At 36.6% G+C, this 21,641-nt stretch overlaps 1 long non-coding RNA gene across 3 annotated transcripts in view, besides 2 other annotated features; it reads right to left on the bottom strand.

The window, feature by feature from the left end:
• LOC105374492 (uncharacterized) overlaps positions 1–21,641 on the bottom strand; it is a 153,067-nt gene that overhangs the window by 43,869 nt on the left and 87,557 nt on the right. The window lies entirely within an intron of this gene.
• Positions 10,263–10,764: an enhancer, noted in NCBI's record as "H3K27ac hESC enhancer chr4:12525597-12526098 (GRCh37/hg19 assembly coordinates)". NCBI's record gives its function as "activates a minimal SCP1, AML or CMV promoter by ChIP-STARR-seq in primed H9 embryonic stem cells {active_cell/tissue: H9 hESC(primed)}" and the evidence as "EXISTENCE:reporter gene assay evidence [ECO:0000049][PMID:30033119]".
• Positions 10,765–11,264: an enhancer, noted in NCBI's record as "H3K27ac hESC enhancer chr4:12526099-12526598 (GRCh37/hg19 assembly coordinates)". NCBI's record gives its function as "activates a minimal SCP1, AML or CMV promoter by ChIP-STARR-seq in primed H9 embryonic stem cells {active_cell/tissue: H9 hESC(primed)}" and the evidence as "EXISTENCE:reporter gene assay evidence [ECO:0000049][PMID:30033119]".

Raw genomic sequence — 21,641 nt, forward strand, 5'->3', positions numbered from 1 at the left:
TTCCCACTTCTCTCTCTCCCTCTCTCTCACCACCATGTAAGACATGCCTTGCTTCCCCTTCCACCATGATTATGTTTCCTAAACCCACCTCCCCCCACCATGCAGAACTGTGAGTCAATTAAACCCTCTTTCCTTTATAAATTACCAAGTCTCAGATATTTCTTTATAGCAGTGTGAATATGAATGAATGCAGAGAATTGGTACTGGAAGGTGGGTGCTGCTATAAAGATAACCTGAAAATGTGGAAGTGACTTGGGAACTGGGTAACAGACAGAGGTTGGAACAGTTTGGAGGCTCAGAAGATGACAGGAAGATGTGGGAATGTATGGAACTTCCTAGATACTTTTTGAATGGCTTTGACCAAAATGCTGATAGTGATATGGACAATTAAGTCCAGGCTGAGGTGGTCTCTGATGGAGATGAGGAACCTATTGGGAATTAGAGCAAAAAGAGACTGAAGGCATTTTGTCCCTGCCCTAGAGAGCTGTAGAACTTTGAAATTGAGAGAGATGATTTAGAGTATCTGGCAGAAGAAATTTCTAAGCAGCAAAGCATTCAAGATGTGACTTTTATTGAAAGTGTACAGTAATATGCATTCACAAAGAGATGATTTAAAATTGGAAAGTATGTTTAAAAGGGAAGCAGAGCATGAAAGTTTGGAAAATTTGCAGCCTGACCATGAGGTAGAAAATAAAAATCCACTTTCTGGGGAGAAATTCAAGCTGGTTGCAGAAATTTTCATAAGTTATGAGGAGTCGAATGTTAATAGCCAAGACAATGGGGAAAATATCTCCAGGACATGCCAGAGGTGTTCATAGCAGTCCCTTGCATCACAGGCCCAGAGGCCTAGGAGACAAAATTGGCTTCATGGGCTGGGCCCAGAGCCCCACTGCTCTATACAGCACTGAGACTTGGTGCCCTATGTCCTAGCCACTCCAGCTCTAGCTGTGGCTAAAAGGGGCCAAGGTACAGCTCATGCCACTGCTTCAGAAGGTGCAATCCCCAATTTTTGGTAGCTTCCACATGGTGTTGGGCCTGTAGGTACACAGAAGACAAGAATTGAGCTTTAAGAGCCTCCGCCTAGATTTCAGAGGATGGACGGAAATTCCTGGATGTCCGGCCATAAGTCTGCTGCAGGGATGGAGCCCTCATGGAGAACCTCTACTAGGGCAGCATGGAAGGGAAATGTGGCGCTAGAGCCCCTACACAGAGTTTCCACGGGGGCACTGCCTAGTGGAGCTGTGAGAAGAGGGCCACCATACTCCAGACCCAAGAAAAGTAGATCTACCAACAGCTTGCACTGTGTGCCTGGAAAAGCGATAGACACTCATTGCTAGCCTATGAAAGCAGCTGCAGGGGCTGTACCCTGCAGAGCCACAGTGAGGGGGAGCTGCTGAAGGCTTTGGGAGCCCACCCCTTGCATCAATATGCCCTAGATATGAGACATAGAATCAATGGAGATTTGGGAGCTTTAAGATTTAATGACTCTCCTGCCAGGTTTTAGACATGCATGGGCCCTGTGGTCCCTTTGTTTTGGCCAATTACTTCCATTTGGAATGGGAAAATTTGCCCAGTAAATGTACGCCCATTGTATCTTGGAAGGAACTAACTTGCCTTTGATTTTATAGGCTCATAGGCAGAACGGACTTGCCTTGTCTCAGATGAGACTTTGGACTTGGACTTTTGAGTTAATGCTGGAATGAGTTAAGACTTTGGGGGAATGTTGGGAAAGCATTATTGATTTTGAAATGTAAAAAGGACATGAGATTTGGGAAGCACCATGGGCTGAATAACATGGTTTTGCTCTGTGTCTCCACCCAAATCTCATTTCTAATTGTAATCCCCAGGTGTTGAGTGAGAGACTTGGTGGGAGGTGATTAGATCTTCGGGGTGGATTTTCCTCTGCTATTCTCCTGACAGTGAGTGAGTTCTCATGAGATCTGGTTGTTTGTTAAGTGTCTAATGCTTCCCCCTTCTCTCTCTCTCTCTCTCTCTCTCTCCTGCTGTCATGTAAGATGTGCCTTGCTTCCCCTTCTGCTGTGATTGTAAGTTTCCTGAGGCCACCCTGGCCATGCAGATCTGGGAGTCAATTAAACCCTCTTTCCTTTATAAATTACACAGTCTCTGGTATTCCTTTATAACATTGTGAAAACGGATGTTTTCACAGTTGTTTTTGGCATTGCCTCTATTACGTAACAGGCCTTCACTACAATTAGTTTCTAGAGATAAAGCTCACATTTACTGTGAAAACATAAGATGGAGTTCAAGTGGAAATAGAATAAGGGAAGGTGAATTAGCAGCATTATTCCCAGCAATTTTTGCTGTTTCTATTAAAGGCTTTTCTATATACACGAGTTTATTTTTAAGTGAAAATAAACTCTTTTCATTATCATTTAAAGCTATAATTTCCTGAATGCTTCTGGTTTGTTTGGAAATGTCTGACTTGCGGCCCTAACTGACTTCAGACTGTTCACATCCAGTCAGCAGACCACCCAACCAGTAGTTGACAGTCCTTGCCAGGGTATTAACACGGTCTCTACTTGTTCTTGGCTGTGAATTTAGTTTGCTCAAACACATGTGGATTGTCACCAGGTCAGCCTGTCCATCTGCTCTGTGGCCCAAAACAAAAATTCCAAAGAAGCCAGACCAGATCACAGGCTAGATCCAAGGTTCTTGAACATATAATCTCATAGCCCTTGGAGATTACATCTAAATTTCCCCATACAACAAGGAAAAAATGTATTTTAAAACAGCTCTCACTATGCAGTCTAAAATCATGAGTCATTCTCAAGTGGACTTCAAGATTTTAGAATATATTTACCACATATATATATATATATATATATATATATATATATATATATATCTGAGAGAATACTTCTCAATTGGTGAAATAAACCTTTAGAAGTTTGCTAATTGAGCTTTTTTTGGCTTACAAATGATCTTCATTGAGATACTTTTATGTCTTTTACGTATGCTTCCAAATTTACTCTGACACCAATTCCCTGTGATTTGATTCACTAGCAAGGCTACTTTGTTAGAAAATTAGGAGACTGGGTTTTACCTCCATTTATGCCTAAATTAGCTGTGAACCCATTCAGGTCACTCACAGACTACATTTCTTATTATCCAAATAAAGGATAACTGCTGAGTTGGTACATTAACTCTATGACATGATTTTCTGTTACTTAATTTGATAACTATAAACATAATGTAGCACCTTCAAAATATGGTTATAGCATAGCTCAAAGGATTTTATATAATAAGTGTCTAAAAGCAAAATGTAAAATTAGTTATGATTTAATTTCAAATGCACAAAACTCTCTTTGCCCCTTGTTAATGAAACTTTTTACATGCATGTCAAGAGTTATGTATCAGTACATTTCAGCCAGATTCTGGAACTAGAGTGGACAGACTAGGTAAGCAAGGGTATCCCTTTGAAAACTGGTAGTGTTTTCCATGGCAGAAGCAAGAGTCAGAGATCTTAACCTGAAAGTACTGCAAGAGCTTATCTATAAATGTTTAAAATAAGTAATAAAGATGAGCAATGACTATTAATATTTACAGCAAAAATGAGAAGATGTTATTTCAGTGCGTAATTTTCAGGGGAAAAAACCCCATTGGGCTGATTTACTTATAAGTTTACATTTTTGCAAATCAAATTAGACTGATTACATGACAAATCTGATGATTGATGGGCCAAAATGGATTATTTCATCCATCATTTCTCTCCCTGTAAATAACACTCTAAGACATATAGACACAAAGTTAATCACACTCGATATGGAAGACAATTTGTATTCAGATATGCCTGAGTACACCACAAAAAAATTTATCTTTTCTTCAGTAGCATGGATCAAGCTGAAGCCCGATATCACAACCTTGAAGGTATAAAAATAATCATTCAGATACTCACTAGGATGGGCAAAATTCACAGAAGCATTTTACTGAACTTCTCTCAGTATAAAATTTGTTATCACCACCCATACCTGAGTTACCTTGGTCCAGGCTATTGCTTAAATTATTGCAACAGGCCCTAGTTGTCTCCCTGCTTCCACTCTTGATCTTCTCTCATCACCACAGAGCTGTCAAGAGTAATCTTAGACCAATGGACTCTAGTTATATCAGGTTGTATAAATTGACTCTCCCACTAAACACAATTTAAAACACCAGACTAACATATTTTCTAATTGCCACAAAACCTTTGAAGAGCTGAAAAGATAGCATAAAAACTGCCAGGCCAAATTTCGGAGAAATGTTTAAACCCAGATAACCAGATTAATGGAGCAGCAAAGATATTTAAATGGTGTTTACAAATGCCACACATTTGAACTTAAGGTTGTGATTTACTGAGGTGAGGAAGACAGATTTTGATGATTTAGTGGGGTGATGAAGACAGAATTTCAGTTGCATTGACTGTCCAGTGGAGATAATCACACAGCTACTCTTCAAACGTTAAGCTGAGACCAGGGCCAGTAAGTACAACTGCACATTGTAAAACAATGGGGGAATTGGAATGGCAAGGGGAGCTGGGTAGGCATTCTGATACATTACAGTGTAATTTGTGACTCCTGAAATTATGCAGTATATAAAATGTAAAAGCCAAAAGAAACAGCCTTATTTGGATCCCATAGGTTTAATCCTCAGGATAAAGGCAAACCTCAATAAAACAATGTTAACTTAAGCCCGGTATAATGCAGAGCAGCTTGCTATAATGCTGATTAAAGCAAGGAACAAAAAGGGGAAATAGAAAAATTATCCTTCCTGAGAAGTTCCATCCACAGACCACCCTTTATGTGCATTGCATGGGTGGCTCATGTATGTCATCTAGGTGGGTCAGGAAACGTCAAGTCATGGCTTTGGTTTAAAGTGGTCATCTAACGGTAGTGTTCCCAGGCACCTGACAGAAGCAAACACAGAGATCCAGAGGAGGACAAATTTACCCCAGCCTTCATGATAATTCAAAAATGATTATTTCAAGAGCAATGACCAGCACTTTCTAAAGATAGACAGGTACATGGAGGTTAAGGAGAATGACTGTATTAAACAAATGGTATAGTTTTTCTTTTCTCTGCTGATGTGTAAGGTATTTCTAGCAGATTTCAAATCACCATAAATACTTTCATTCCAATTCTAGGCTCTCTCTCCATTTCTATTTTTTAGTTTGAGAATACTACCCTGACTTGAAAAAGATAGCTTTAAACATCTTTTTGCTTGATAACGCAACTCCACTTTTCCTGTACTCTCTTCTTTCCTCTAGAATTATCATAGCTAATTTTGAATCTTGATTTTTAATATAATGTTTAGACACATGATAAATTTGATGTTAAAGCATAATTTGGAACTATTTCAAAGTAGTAATAAAGAGAGAATGGCATGTTTATGATATTGAGCATTTCAACAATATTCTGTGTCACTTCCCTTCAAGGTTAAATTCCTACAAGTGTGTGTTTTGGCCTGTTCAGAGGCTGTGCCCATGGTTAGGCCACATGGATGGTAGCCCCATTTGATTCCATTACTTGTGAATGGGCTGCAGTTTCTCAAGAATTTGTTGTAGAAAAAGCAAAAAGAGATGCTTTTAGAAATATTTCTCTTTTCTTTCCTCAAATATCCTTCAAAGCTGTTCTTTTATCACAATCTTTTAATTGTAAATTATGACAATGAAATTGATAAAGTTTGCCAATGCTACTATTATTTATCAAATTCTTAGGATAGTACAAACATAACATAAAATGTTTCAAATGCATTTGCTCATTCAATACTCATGAAAACATTATTAAATAGGGCAGATGGTCAGCCATACACACAGGGACAGACATACTGGTTTTTAAAATATTGAATTATTTCCATGACAGAGAGTAAATAGCCACTTCCCCATTTCCCTGGTGGCTTCCTGTTCAGCATCTCAGCTGTGCTTTTTCCTTAGCATTCTTCACAGCTGCTTGCAATCCAGCAAATAGCAGGGACCATTTGTCCCAGTTGGGTGCACTAATTAACTATACCAGTGCTGGAACCAGCATCCTTTCAAAGGAGGGGTCAGTGCCTCTGGTGTACCAGTTATTGGTATTTTAAATATAATTCTTAGAAATGAGAAAATTGATCCTTAGAAATCTAAAATATAAAGCATGCTTATATCACACAGCTTTGCATCTTATGGAATTAAATATGGTTCTGTAGAAAATGCTTTCAATGAGATGCCACAGACAATTAGATCAAAGTGTCTTGTGAAACTCCTCTCATTGAGAGAGATCTTAGACCTCTGGTTTTAGAATTTTGAGCATTTATTTATTGAACCCTCTATTTTTTATTGAGTTTAGATACAACTATAAAAGTGTAATTCACAGTCAAATTATTTATAAATTTTTGCAACTTTCAGATCCACCTGTTTACTGATGCCCTTTGACTCTATAAATAATTTTGTTCAACTAGAAAACACAGGATTCATCAGCTATGTGTCAAAATTTCTTTATGTTGTTATAATTTGTTCCCTAAATGAAATCTATCACGTTTAAATTCAAAGTTGGAAACCCAGAGATGAAGAAACAAACATTGCCACGGCATCTGTGAACACAAATGTCCTACAGTAAAAAATGTTTATTAAACAAAAATAACTGAAAAGATCATAACATCTGAATGTATTTGAAACAATTATTTCTGATGATATTTTACATTTTTCAGTGAATACTTAATGAATTTATTTAATAATCCAATAAACACAAATTGATTATAATTTATATTGGCTATAACAACATAAACTAAATGTGCAATAATAGAAACATTATTTTACAAATAATGACATATACCATATTGAGTATTTTGCAGTTATTTTAAGTTATGAATGTAGAAACTAATAGACAGTAAAATCATTATAATACTAAGTGTAAAAATTTGAATATAGAAATGTAAATACTTTCTTATTTTTAAATGATGTTTTCCTTCTGTCATCACATATTCAATGTGTTTATGACACAACTATAGCCAAATTATGATTAAATTCTACCAACATTCAATTTCTCTAGTACTATGACTTTTTGCCCTCTGTAAGTCATTTTGTTTCAATTTATGTAAAAAATTATTGTGTGATATTTGAAAGCAGCAGTTAGCCATGATTCTTACCATTTATAAGGATAGTTGGTCTGCAGTGACAGTAAAGAAAACCATATAAAGAGAACAATTAAAATTAGAAACAGCATATCTTGTAGCAATTGTAGCCTCTGCTCAAATCTGGGCAACAGAGTTGGACTTTGTCTCAATAAAAATATGTATATTTTTAATGAGACACTGTATTTGTTTTCACGCTGCTGACAAAGACATATTTGAGACTGAGTAATTTATAAAGAAAAAGAGGTTTAATGGACTCACAACTCCACGTGGCTGGGGAGGCCTCACAATCATAGTGGAAGGTGCTGTCTTACATGGTGGCAGGCAAGATAGAATTAGAACGAATTGAAAGGGGTTTTCCCTTATAAAACCATCAGATCTTGTGAGACTTATTCACTACCACAAGAACAATATGGGGGTAACTGCCTCATGATTCAATTATCTCCCACCAGGTCCCTCCCACAACACTTAGGAATTATGGGAGCTACAATTCAAGATGAGATTTGGGTGGGGACACAGCCAAACCATATCAGACACCAATGTGTTCAGTCTTAAAAACTGGAAGAATGGAGTTTTTCCTAAATGAGATGGAAAGACTATAGAAGGAAGCTGGTTTGGAAGAAAGCATCAGTAGTGCTGTTTTATATATCTTAGTTTTAAGATGTCACAAACATATAAACTTGTATTTATTTGCAATCATATGTGTATCTTTCTCTCTTGTGATAAAAAAGAGATGATTCAATGCTAATAGTTCCATTCTATGGTGGATTTCATCCTTATTTTCAAGAGTCATCAATCTTTTGATTTATACATCTTCAGGTTATCCCAAGCTCTACTTGTTCTTTGTTTTTCTCTCTTTTTTTTCAGACACCCTGGAAAGCCTTCCTTCTTTTCCCTGTTTCTAGACTCAGTGTCCCTCAGGGTCTGTTTTAGGCCTTCTGCTCTCAGACCCCATGTATTCTTCTCAAGGAGTATCACCAACTTCAAAGTCCATGTCACCAGCTCAACCCTGGGCCTCAAGTTCCAATCATGTCTACTTGGGCTTCTCATTCTCACAGGGGCACATCAAACTACATTCTTCAAAACTGAAAATCCCATTCCCCTCAATGCTCTGCCTTAATCAAATAAACTTCTCTTAGTTATCAACTTTAGTAAAAGATACCATTCTATCTAGACCTGAAACTTCTTCTTACCTCCCACATCTATATCCTTAACCAATTCAACTTCATGACTTAAAGAGAAAATAGAAAGGAGTGGAAACAGATAATAATGTGCTCATTCTTTTCAGGTGGAAGCTGCAACCATGCCACACAATAAAGCATTGAATTATTCTTTTTCTATTATTAAAATAGAATAGAGGTGGATTATATCATATCTTCTAAGTTTCTTTCTGATGATGATGATTGGTTGTTTCATCTGAAGACATGTTATATCAACTTCATGTCAGGCACCATGAATCACTCTATCAAATTACATTCATGGGCTTCAAATCACAGCTGGAATTATATCCTATGTATGAATAGATGTGAAGTTTCAGGGAGAATAGGAAAGTAAAATCATTTAAGTACTTCCTACATTTGCCCTCTCATTTGCATTTCACATCAGTTATTTGAAATGAGAACTAGCATTTCTTCTTTATGCATAAGGGAACTGAGACACAGAACTGTTAAGCAAATTGCTCCACATCACACATTTAGAACGTTATGGACTTAGGTTAATACATCACTTCTTTAAAATCTTTTTTTTTCTTTAAAATCTTTTATTTCTGCTATAAAAAAATGCTATGTATATTTTCTTATTCATGACTCGACACTATTCTGCTGAAATTAATAATAAGCATATTAATTTGAGGTTATATTTTATTGTATAAATTTTTGAAGTAGAAAGTAATAAAGGAAATTAGAAGCTGGTGAGCATTAGGTACTATGCTATGTGCTTCACATAAGGTATTTTATTAATTCATTTATCATAATAATTGTGTTACTGGCATCACATTTTACAAAGTAGATAATAGTCCCAGGGAATATATGTGAGGAATCCTTCTTTACCAAATGTTAGAAACAAAACTCAAATAATTTAAGTAAACATAACATTTTATGGCTTATTTAATTAAATAAGAAGTAGATGACTTACGAAGGAAAATAAATGAATAATGTAAAGGACATACACATAGCTAGGCTTGAGAAACAATTGGATCCACCAAAACTAATTCACTGACTCTCTCTCTCTATTGAATCTCTCTCTCTAATATCTCTGTCTATTGTTGTACATAGTATTAGTTTTCTTATACAACACAGCTGTATTATGTAAGGTTCTCCAGAAAGACAGAACAAATAAGATAAATATAGACATATAGGTATGTGGATATATGAGAGACAAATTGATATGAAAATTGATTTATTTAGTTATGAACCCTGAGAAATCCCATAAAAGACTGCCTACAAGCTTGAGAACCTGGGATGCTGGTAGTGTCCCAGTCCAAACCATTTGTGGCTCAGTTCAAGTCCCAAAGCCCCTGAACCATAGAAACCAATGGTATAATTCTTAGACCACAAGCCTGAGAGCCCAAGGGACCACTGGTGTAAGTATTGAAATCTAAAGGTGAGAAAGCCTGAAGTTCTGTTGACTAAGGATAGGAAAAGAGTGTTATAGCTTCAGAAGAGAGAGGGAAAAACACCTTTTATTTCTTTGCTTTTTTTGTTTCATTCCAGACCCCAGTTGATTAGATAATGCCCAGTCACAATGAGGGCAGATCTTCCTTGCTCAGTCCGTGATTCATACACCAATCTCCTCTGAAAACAACCTCACAGACATAGCCAGAAGTAATGCTTTATGAGTTCTCCGGTATTCTTTAATCCAGTCAAGTTGACAACTAAAATTAACAGGAGTCAACAAAGAAATAGGAAGTTATAGGATCCAGGAAATGAGGCATTTGATATAAGAAAAATGCTGAAATAGGGAAGGACAACATGGCCAACTGATGCAGCCAGGTGCAACAGCTCCTACCGAGGTGCTGAGACAACTGGCATGCTCTTAACAGATCTTTAGAAGGAAAACACTGAGAGTGGTTGGAGGGAGGACACAGAATCTGGACTGAAGGCAAAGAAATCTGGGAACCTTGTATGGGCCTACGGCACACTGGACTCATTCCTGGCTGTGGGAGAACAGGTGAGTTGAACTAATGAGTAATAACTGACTCTCACCACAGGCCTCCAGAACCCCAGCAGGAGGATGCCTCTTGACCACCATGAACACCCATATTGGCAGAGAGAGCTCCTTAGAGAAGTGGTAGGGGCAGCAAGCCAGCTGATTTGGACCCCAGAGGGTTTGGCGTGGGAGTGTCTGTAGCAGAGCATGCCTAGGGACAGCCATCCTCTTAGGCTTCACTCACTCCCATTGGAGATTTTATCCTTAGGGCAACTGTCAGACCTGATCTCTGCAGGGCAGTCTTGCCCATCAGACAGGGCTAGGTTGACCTGAGCAGACCTTGGTCTGCTGGCCTCTCCTGGGGCCCCAGCCTGGCCACACCTGTTTGCAGGGCAGTCTTGGGTGCCCTAGGGACCTGCACCATAACTTGTGCTAGTGGATTGTGCCTGACCAGGACCATGTGGCTCCTATGGCCATACACCAGCCCACCCACTTGCTACCCATATTGCAGCTTCCCTCAGGCCCAAAGAAACTACCCAACTCACTCTTGCTGATGTGTGTCTGCATGGGTGAGTTTTGCCTTTCTTGCCCCACCAGGATGCAGGAGTGCAGTCTGCCTTCCCTCCCCCTGCCAACCACCATTTCAGACAGAGCCTTGGCAGGCACAGAGCCATCCAGCCCTGCCTGCAACAGTGCCCAGCCCTTATCCTATCACTACAGAGAACAGCAGATCCTCCCCTACCCTGAGCAATCACTCTTTCTTGTGGGAAACACAGAAGGCACATAGTCCTGTGTCCACAAGTTCCCCACTACAAGCCAACACTACCTCCAGCATGACTGTACAGACAATCCTCAGCAGCTAGGCCCATTCACTGTCAAGCTGCATTGCCTCCACCACCATGGTGAATGCCCCCAGGGAGTCAGGCACCCAGTCCCCACCAGCACTCTGCCATAGCTGCTACACCTTGGCCATTCCAGTGAAGTGGACTCTTAGCCTTGAAGGACAGAGAACAAAATTGGGGCCCAATACAAGTCCCCTAGAGTTTGAGCACACAGTCCAGGAGTTGGGAACTTTGTGTTTGCCCTGTAAAATCTTCCAGAAATGAAGCCATTTAGCTGAATCTACTGTACATCAAAATCAAACCCTCAGGTCATCAAATAGGATAAAAGAAAAAAACAAAGATCAACAACGTCAAAGGTTGAAGGTAGATAAGCCCACAAAGATGAGAAAGAATCAGTGCAAGAAACCTGAAAACTCAAAAAAACAGTGTGCCTTCTTTCCTCCAAATGACCATTTTACCTATTCAGCAAGGGTTCTGAACAGGGCTGAGATGGCTAAAATGACAGAAATAGGATTCAGAATATGTATAGATACAAAGATCATTGAGCTAGAGGACTATGTTGAAATCCAATCTAAGAAAGCTAATAATCATGATAAAACAATTCAACAGCTGACAGACAAAATAGCCAGTATAGAAAATAACATAACTGATCTGACAGAGCTGAAAAACACACTAATAGAATATAATAATGCAAACACAAGTATTAATAGCAGAATAGACAAGCAGAAAAAAGAATCTCAGAGCTTAAAGACTAACTTTCTGAAATAAGACAGACAATAATAGAGGAAAAACAATGAAAAAAATGAATAAAAGTTCCAAGAAATATTTGATTATGTAAAGAGAACAAATCTACAACTCATTTGTGTCACTGAAACAGATGGGAAGAATGGGACCAACTTGGAAAACACATTTCAGGATATCATCCATGAGAACTTCCTGAACTTGCCTAGAGAGGCCAACAGTCAAACTCAGGAAATGCAGAAAACCTAGTAAGATACTTCACGAGGAGATCATCCTGAAGACCCACAGTTATCAGATTTTCCAAGGTCAAAATAAAAAAAAAATTGGTAAAGGTAGCTGGAGAGACAGGTCAGGTCACCTACATAGGGAAATGCAACAGACTAAAAGTGGACCTGTCAGAAGAAACTCCACATGGCAGAAAAGATTGGGGGCCAATATTCAACATTCTTAAAGAAAAAAATTTCAACCCAGAATTCCATATTTGGCCAAACTAAGCATTATAAGTGAAGGAGAAATAAGATCCTTTTCAGAAAAGCAAATGCTGAGGGAATTTGTTACCACCAGACCTGCCTTACAAGATATCCTGAAAGAAGCACTAAATACAGAAAGCAAAGATTTTTACCAGCCACTACAAAAACACTCTGCAGTACACAGAGCAGTGATGCTATAAAGCAACCAAATAAAAAACCTGCAAAATAACCAGTCAACATCATGATGGCAGGATCTAATCCACATATATCAATATTAACCTAGAATGTAAATGGGCTAAATGCTTCAATTAAAAGACACAGTGGCAAACTGGATAAAGAACTAAGACCCATTTGTATGCTGCCTTCAAGAGACCCATCTTACATGCAATGATGCACATAGACTGAAAATGTAAGGATGAAGAAAAATCTACCAAGCAAATGGAAAACAGAAAAAAGCAGGAGTTGCTATAGTAGTTCCAGGTAAAACAGGCTTTAAACCAATAAAAACCATAAAAGACAAAGAAGGGCATTACATAATGGTAACATGCTCAATTCAATGAGAAGATATAACTATACTAAACATATATGCATCCAACACAGGAGGACCTGGATTCATAAAGCATGTTCTTAGGGACCTTCAAAGAGACTTAGACTCCAGCACAATAATAGTGGGAGACTGTAACATCCCTCCGACAATATTAGACAGATCACTGAGACAGAAAATTAACAAAGATATTCAGGACCCGAACTCCACACTGGATCAAATGGACCTTATAGATATCTACAGAAATCATCACTGCTGCCTCCCCCGCCAAAAAAAACCCCAAAATATACATTCTTCTCATCATCACATGGCACATACTCTAAAATAAACCACATAATTGGAAGTAAAACACTCCTCAGCAAATGCAAAAGGACTGAAATTATAACAAATGATCTTGGACTACAGCACAATCATATTAGAAATCAAGACTAAGAGATTAACTCAAAACCATACAATTGCATGAGAATTGAATAACCTGCCCCTGAATGACTTTTGGGTGATTAATGAAATTAAGGCAGAAATCAAGAAGTTCTTTGAAGTTAATGAGAACAAAGATACAACATACCAGAATCTCTGGGACACAGGTAAGACAGTGTTAAGCGGGAAATTTATAGCACTAAATGCCCACATCACAAAAAATAAAAAGAAAAAAAATCTCAGATTAAAAACCTAACATTATTACTAAAAGAACTAGAGAACCAAGAGCAAACAAATAGCAAGCTAGTAGAAGACAAGAAATAGCCAAAAGAGCTGAACTTAAGGAGATTAAGCCACAAAAACCATTTAAAGATCAACAAGTCCAGGAACTGGTTTGTGAAAAGATTAATAAAATAGACCACTAGCTAGATTAATAAAAAAGAAAAGAGAGAAGAGTCAAATAAACACAATCAGGCACAACAAGGGGGATACTACCACTAATGCCACAGACATACAAACAATCATTGAAAAATATTATGAATACCTCTATGCACATAAACTAGAAAATCTAGAAAAAAATGAATAAATTCCTGGATCCATCACCCTCTCAAGATGTAACTGGGAAGAAATTGAATCCCTGAACAGACCAGTAATGAGCTCTGAAATCGGGTCAGTAATGAATAGCCTACCAAGCAAAAGAAAGCCCAGGACCATACAGATTCACAGCTGAATTCTACCAGACGTACAAAGTGCTGGCAGAATTTCTGCTTTCTGCTTAAACTATTCAAAAAAATTGAGAAGAGGGACTCCTTTCTAACTTATCCTATGAGGCCAGCATCATCCTGATACTAAAACCTAGCAGAGACACAACAACAATAAAAAAGAAAACTTCAGGCTAATATCCTTGAAGAACATTGATGCAACAAAATACTGGCGAACCAGATCCAATAGCACATCAAAAAGCTTATCCAACATGATCAACTGGGCTTCATCACTAGGATGCAAGGTTGGTACAATGCACACAAATCAATAAATGTGATTCATCACATAAACAGAACTTAAGACAAGAAAACACGTAATTATCTCAATAGATGTAGAGAGGCTTTCAATAAAATTCAACACCCCTTCATGCTAAAATCTCTCAATAAACTAGGTATTGAAGGAACATGCCTCAAAATAAGAGCTGTCTCTCGCAAACCCACAGCCAGCATCATACTGAATGGGCAAAAGCTGGAAGCATTCCCCTTGCAAACTGGCATAAGATAAGGATGCCCTCTCTCACCACTTCTATTCAATATATTATTTGAAGTCTTGTCTAGGGAAATAAGACAAGAAAAAGAAACAAAGGGCATCCAAATATAAATAGAGAAAGTCAAAGTATCCCTGTCTGCAGAGGACACAATCCAATATCAGGAAACCCCATAGTCTCAGCCAAAAAGCACCTTAAGCTGATAAGCATCTTTCACAAAGTCCCAGGATACAAGATCAATTTGCAAAAATAACGAACATTACTATAGACCAACAATAGTCAAGTCAAGAGCCAAATCAGGAGCACAATCCCATTTACAATTACCAAAAAAGAATAAACACCTAGAAATACAGCTAACTGGGGAAGTGAAGGATCTCTACAGGGAGAACTACTACAAAACATGGCTCAAATAAATCAGATATGACACAAACAAATGGAAAAACTTTCCACGCTTATGGATAGCAAAAATCAACATCCTTAAAATGGCCACACTGCCCAAAGCAATTTACAGATTCAATCCTATTCCTACTGAACTACCATTGACATTTTTCACAGAACTAGAAAAAACTATTTTTAAATTCCTATAGAACCAAAAAAGAGTCCGAATACCCAAGACAATCCTGAACAGAAAGAACAAAGCTAGTGGCATCATGTTACCTCACTTCAAACTATACCACAGGGCTACAGTAACAAAATAGCATGGTACTAGCACAAAAACAGACATATAGACAAATGGAACAGAATAGAGAACCCAGAAATAAGACTGCATACTTACAGTCATCTGATCTTCAACAAACCTGACAAAAAAAAATGGGGAACAGATTTCCTATTCAATAAATGGTGCCAGGATAACTGGCTATTCATATTCAGAAGATCGAAACTGGATCCCTTTCCTGTATCATACAAGAAATAATCTCAAGATAGTTTTACATATAAAACCCAAAATTGTAAAATTTTTGAAAGACAACCTAGGCAATACCATTGTGAACCTAGGAACAGGAAAATATTTCATGACAAAATCACAAAAAGCAATTTTAACAAAAGCAATAATTGACTAATGAGATTTAATTAAACTAAAGAGCTTCCGCATAGCAAAATGAACTATTAACAGAGTGAACGGACAAACTGCAGAATAAGAAAATTTTTGCAAACTATGCATCTGACAAAGGTCTAACATCCAGCGTTTGTTTAAGGAATTTAAACAAATGGGTATTTGGTATGTATCCAAAGGAATACAAATCCTTCTATTATAAAGACACATGCACATGTATGTTCATTGCAGCACTATTGACAATAGCAAAAATAAATGAAATCAACGTAAATGCCCATCAATAAAAGACTGGATAAAGAAAATGTGGTACACACACACCTTCAAACACTATGCAGATATAAATAAGAATGAAATCCTGTTCTTTGCAGGAACATGGATAGAGATGGGGGCCATTATTTTTAGCAAACTAATGCAGAGACAGAAAAGCAAATATCACATATTCTCACTTATAAGTGGGAACTTATAAATGATGAGAACACATGGACACATAGAAAGGAACTATAGACACTGTGACCTATTGGAGGGTGCAGAATGGGAGGAGAGAGAGGATCAAGAAAAATAGCTAGTGAGTACTAGGTTTGATACCTGGGTGATGAAATAATCTGTATGACAAACCCCGTGACACAAGTTTACCTGTATAGAAAACCTGCCCATGTACCCCTGAACTTAAAATAAATTACAAAAAAATAAGAAAATACTGAAGTACATTTTTATTTAAACAGGGGTTAAGAAGGAGTAATGAGTAATCAGTACAAATTGAAATAGGAAGATTTGTGTCTTCCCCAATAAAAAAAAAGGTGAAAAAAAAAGACTGAATGTTTACTTTATGTGTTTTTCCCTATTGAAAGGAGTTTCACACTTTCATTAAATATTTGTGTCAGGAATAATTAAGGATAAATACATAAAAAAACTAAGCCAAACTAAGCCAAAATAATCAAGACAATTTGGAAATGAGAAAATAAGTAGCATCACACAACAAGGAAATGATTCATCATAGCACACAGCAGCACACAAGGCTTAGTATTGAATAATATTAATTTATACATAATTTGTATGTATAAATAATTACTTACGGAATAATTGTCACATATGAGATACAAAAATTTATCTTGGATGCATAGGGTTAGCAAATGTAAATGGTGAGTGATGAGGAAACAAGGCTAAAGTTGTATTTTTCATATTGAGAAGTTAATAGATATAATGTGTCAAAGTGAAAAGAAACAGTATCGATGCATTATTTAGAAATACCAGAAAGAATAGCTATAATAATTAGAAGTAGTCACCTTTGGAGAATGAGAGCCGGGAGTAGGGTGTTTTAAGACTTACAGTGCTACTTGACTTTTTAAAACTAGGTGCATATGTTAACTTTGATAAGAATACAATTTAGTGAAATAACATGGGAAAAGAAGCCACGAAGACCAGACCAGTAGTTGCATCGAAGGTATAGAAAGGTACAGAGATGAATTCTGCTCTCTAATAATTTCAATGTTGTATTGATAATGATGTCACCTTGCACATGTAAACCACTTTGCAGATAACAAGGAACCTGTAAAAAGATCAAGAAAAGTACATTTTCTCCATGTGCCTCCTTCTTTACATCACTTCATCTTTTCTGATGTTCTTCACCTTGTGCAATGTCTTTCAACGCTTCTCAATGGCAAACTCCTACTCATTTCTCATCATGACTCTAAAAAAATCATCCTTTCTATAAAGCCTTTGCATATACTCCTCCCTCTCACAACCACATTATTTCTTCATTTAAGCCTCACATCACATACAGCCTGTGGTTTCATCACGGCACCCCCATGCTCTGGCACTATGAGTTACTTACCTATTTGTCTCCCTGATGGACTGTGAGCCACTGTTGAGTGGGGATGTTTTATTCATGTTTGTGACCTTGCTGCCTTTCACGGAATCAAGGAACATACTAAGTCGTAATTCATATCTGCTTAATTAATGAGTTAGAGAACTGCTGCACATCAGAGAAGAGGGTAGGGCAGGTATCATTAGCTTCCTTTGGCAGGTGAGGGCAGATTCTCGGAGGGCTGAGCATCCTGCCCAAAGTCACACACTTAGCAACTCTGAAGTACTTCTGGGCTTTGATGGAGTTTATTTCTCACTCACATATAATTCAGGGGGGATTATTACCAAGATAATCATGATCTCCCCACCAAGTCCCTTAGTACACCCATTAGGCACAGAATCTAGGTTAAGCTAAGCACAAGGGACTGGCCCCATATGTCCCTTGGCCTTTTCCTGGTGGCTAGGTAGCTTTGTGTCCCATAGCAGAGTCATTCCTGAAGAGCCTTAGGACATCTCAAAGTTAGTGACTCTCACTTTTCTCCTACCAGGTCCCACTGGGCTCCCAGCCTCGAACAAGATCTGCCTACTTTCAGAGGCCCCAGGCTCAAGACTGACAAGTGAATGGTAATGTGATTCCCTGGCACTGAATTTTTTTTGAGAGGGTAAAACCGTAAGCGTATAGAGTAAATAAATGTTAAGGAAGAAAACCACAGATATTAATATGAAACATGTTATACATTATTACATGGCAATAATAACCCTTTACTCACAGAATATCTGGGTTTTATGTGTTCTTTAAGTACTTGAAGCTTATTTATACAATGCAGAGCTATAAATGTTTTGAAAAATAAAATTTTCTAAGAGCAGGTGTAATTCCAACAGCTCAAGTGCCAACCCTCAATAAATGTCAATAGAATGATTGGAGGCTTACTAATAATAGTGATAAAAAGATTTTGCAAAATATCCATTGAAATCTTAAATTAGGTAAAATTCCCATGCCAAATATTTCATACCAATTAATCATCAATGGCTTTGTTTTGATTTTTATCAGTAATACTACGTCTCCTTAACAGCAAAAACTCAAGCAAGATATTCTCAATATTGTCCAAAGAGAACTTGCTTTTAAGCATTTTTACATTATCTTTGACTCCAACTAAAGTGCAAAATTATTGAGGCTCCCTTGTCATTTTACCCCTTTCCATTAACAGTGAAGTGCTCAGCACCATTTTTTTTTTTTGACATTAAAAGCCCAGGGAGTTCCCAGACAGTGTAAATAAAGGGAAACATACTGATATAGTAAACAATATGCAAAATGTACCATGTTAGGTTACTTGCAAAATAAATTTATTCTAATGGGTTTGTTCCTAGACCATTCTGCAAGTGTATGTGTGTCTACACAGTGTGTGTGTGCATCACAATGACAATTTCTCTGTAAAGTATTGAAAATATATATTGTATAGTGATTACTCATGTCTCTTCATGAACTATAAATAAATTTGGAGCTAAGAAACAGGTCAAGGTTACACAAACTGATGTGGCAGTCCAGCATATACAGAAGTATTTGCATGTTATGGAGGTAATGTGCAAATGCATTCATATTGCTAAAAAGCTAAACTTTACAGACTTATACATTGTAAAATATCAAAGTCCGTCTTGTAAATGGCCTCTCCCATTCTTCCCAATGATCAATACCTTTCCTTCATTTTAGGGAATTATGCAAGTTTGTCATTCATTCTTTCAGTCCCCTTTGTTATACATTAATAAATGTATCTATATAATAGATAATATGCAAATCAACATACCTAATTAACACTTTTATTCTACCATGTTATCCTTTGTTTCTTAAATATATACATTTCATACCACAAGCAATTAATACATTTACATTTATTCATTTTATTCTATGGAACATAACCATAGGCATTTCTCATATTATTTAATATTCTTCAAAAATATTAAGATATTTGCCATATATTATACCTATTTTTGGACATTATATTGTTTTAAAAATTTTGCAGCTGGGTGCGGTGGCTCACATCTGTAATTCCAGCACTTTCGGAGGCCAAAGCCGGTGGATCACCTGAGGTCAGAGTTTGAGACTAGCATGGCCAACATGGTGAGACCCCCATCTCTACTAAAAATTCAAAAAATGGCGTGGTGGCAGTCTCCTGTAATCCCAGCTACTTGGGAGGTTGAGGCAGGAGAACCATTTGAACCCGGGAGGTGGAGGTTGCAGTGAGCTGAGATCGCACCATTGCACTCCAGCCTAGGCAACGAGAAAAACTCCATCTCCAAAAAAAAAAAAACTGCTATTATAAAAATTAAGAAGATACTTGCATTAATATTCATCTAAATTTGAGATTAGCACTTTGGCATTGATTTGAAAAAAACTTGGGACTTTTTATGCAGATTGACAAATTGTTTTTCAGATAGGATACATCAGTTTGCATTTCCATTGCTAATTATATGAATGGCCATCTCTCATATTTTTGTTATCATTATCATTATTGTTAATATTTGATCAATTGATTAGTGAATACTATTTTTCAAAGAATGAAATACTCGATTTTTTATTTCCTTTATTAGTGCTAAGGCTGAACATTTTGAGTTAATTAACTAGCCATTTCATTTTGTTAATTTTCTAAAACAAAACTGATCTAATTTATTCATTTTAAAATTTATGTCATTATATTTCTTATAAACCTACCTGTATTGCTATTTCTATATAAAATACATTAATTTTGTGAATAATTGTTCCTAGTAGTCCAACATTATTCCAACATTATTTGGCATATAGTTTTGATTATGATGATTATGACTTGCAAATGTTTTTAATTCTTCTCTGTTAAAATCTTCATTATTTTCCATTGTTTGCTTTTAATCTTAGAAAGCAATTGTTACCTTATGGAATATTTATTTATTTACCTATATTTTATTATAACATATTACCTGTACTCTATCTGTAATTTATTTTGTTGTATTTTAAGTTTCATTTGTTTTGTTAATTTTCAGTTTCATTTTTATATAGCCAGGTTTCACATTTTTAATACAATAATTCATATTTTCTTCTGAAGTTTTTTATTGTACTTTAAATTATTACATAATTAAATAAATGAAAGAGCCCAGAGGAACCCTTCAGAAACCTTTCTATTCACCCATTCTAAAACCGATATTGGTTCTTTACTACATTTTCCTTTTATTTTTAACAATGTTATTCCAGTAAACTAATATACAAGAAATTGTACATATCTGAAGTGTATAATTTGATATGTTTTGGCATATTTAAACATCCGGGAAACCTTGAACACAATCAAGGTAATAAATGTATTAATCACCCCCAAAAGTTTCATTATGTACTATGCACTCCTCTCACTAATCCCTTTGGCCACGCCTCCACACTTGCCCAGGGAGCCACTGCTCTGCCTTCTGTCACTGTAGATTGCTTCATATTTTCTTGAAATTATATAATTTGAACCATAGGGTATGATATTTTTCTTTGTGTGGCTTCTATTATTTCAAATTATTTTGAGATTCATCCATGTTGTAGTATGGATCAGTAAATCACACCTTTGTATTACTGAATGATTTCCAATCATTTTAATTCTGAGGAATACTGTTTGCCCACTCATTTGTTTATTAATATTTGGGTTGTTTCCAGTTAAGGGCTATCATAAGGTTGCTATGAGCATTTACATACAAATGCTTAGCCTTCTTAATTTTTGTCATTCTAATATGTGTGTAGTGGTATTTCATTACGTATTTAATTTGCATTTCCTAAGGACTGATCATACTTGCATATTTTCATGTGCAGATTTGCTGACCATGTATCTTTTTAGTGAAGAATAGTATGCTAAAATCTATTCTCCATTTTTAATGGTCTATTTAGTGGATTTTTTATTGAGTTTTGATCATTCATCTATTCTGATACAAACACTTTAACAGACATGGTTAACAAATATTTTCTCTCAGTCTGTGACTTGCCTTTTTATTCTTTTAACATTGTGTTTTAAATAGCAGTTTTTTTATTTTGATGATGTCTAATTTTTCAATTTGATTGTTTAGGAATAATGCTTTTGATGTTTAAGTTAAGCAATGTTTGCCTAAACCAAAGTTACAATGATTTTTTGCTAAAAGATTTGTATCTTAGGTTTTCATGTAGGTACACGATACACTGTATTTAATTTTTGTATATGGCCTATAAGTACATACTAAAGTTCATTTTTACATATGAGTATACAACTATTCCAGGATTATTTGTTGAAAAACTATACTTTGT

Source organism: Homo sapiens, chromosome 4 (assembly GCF_000001405.40).
Source record: "Homo sapiens chromosome 4, GRCh38.p14 Primary Assembly".
Taxonomy (NCBI): domain Eukaryota; kingdom Metazoa; phylum Chordata; class Mammalia; order Primates; family Hominidae; genus Homo; species Homo sapiens.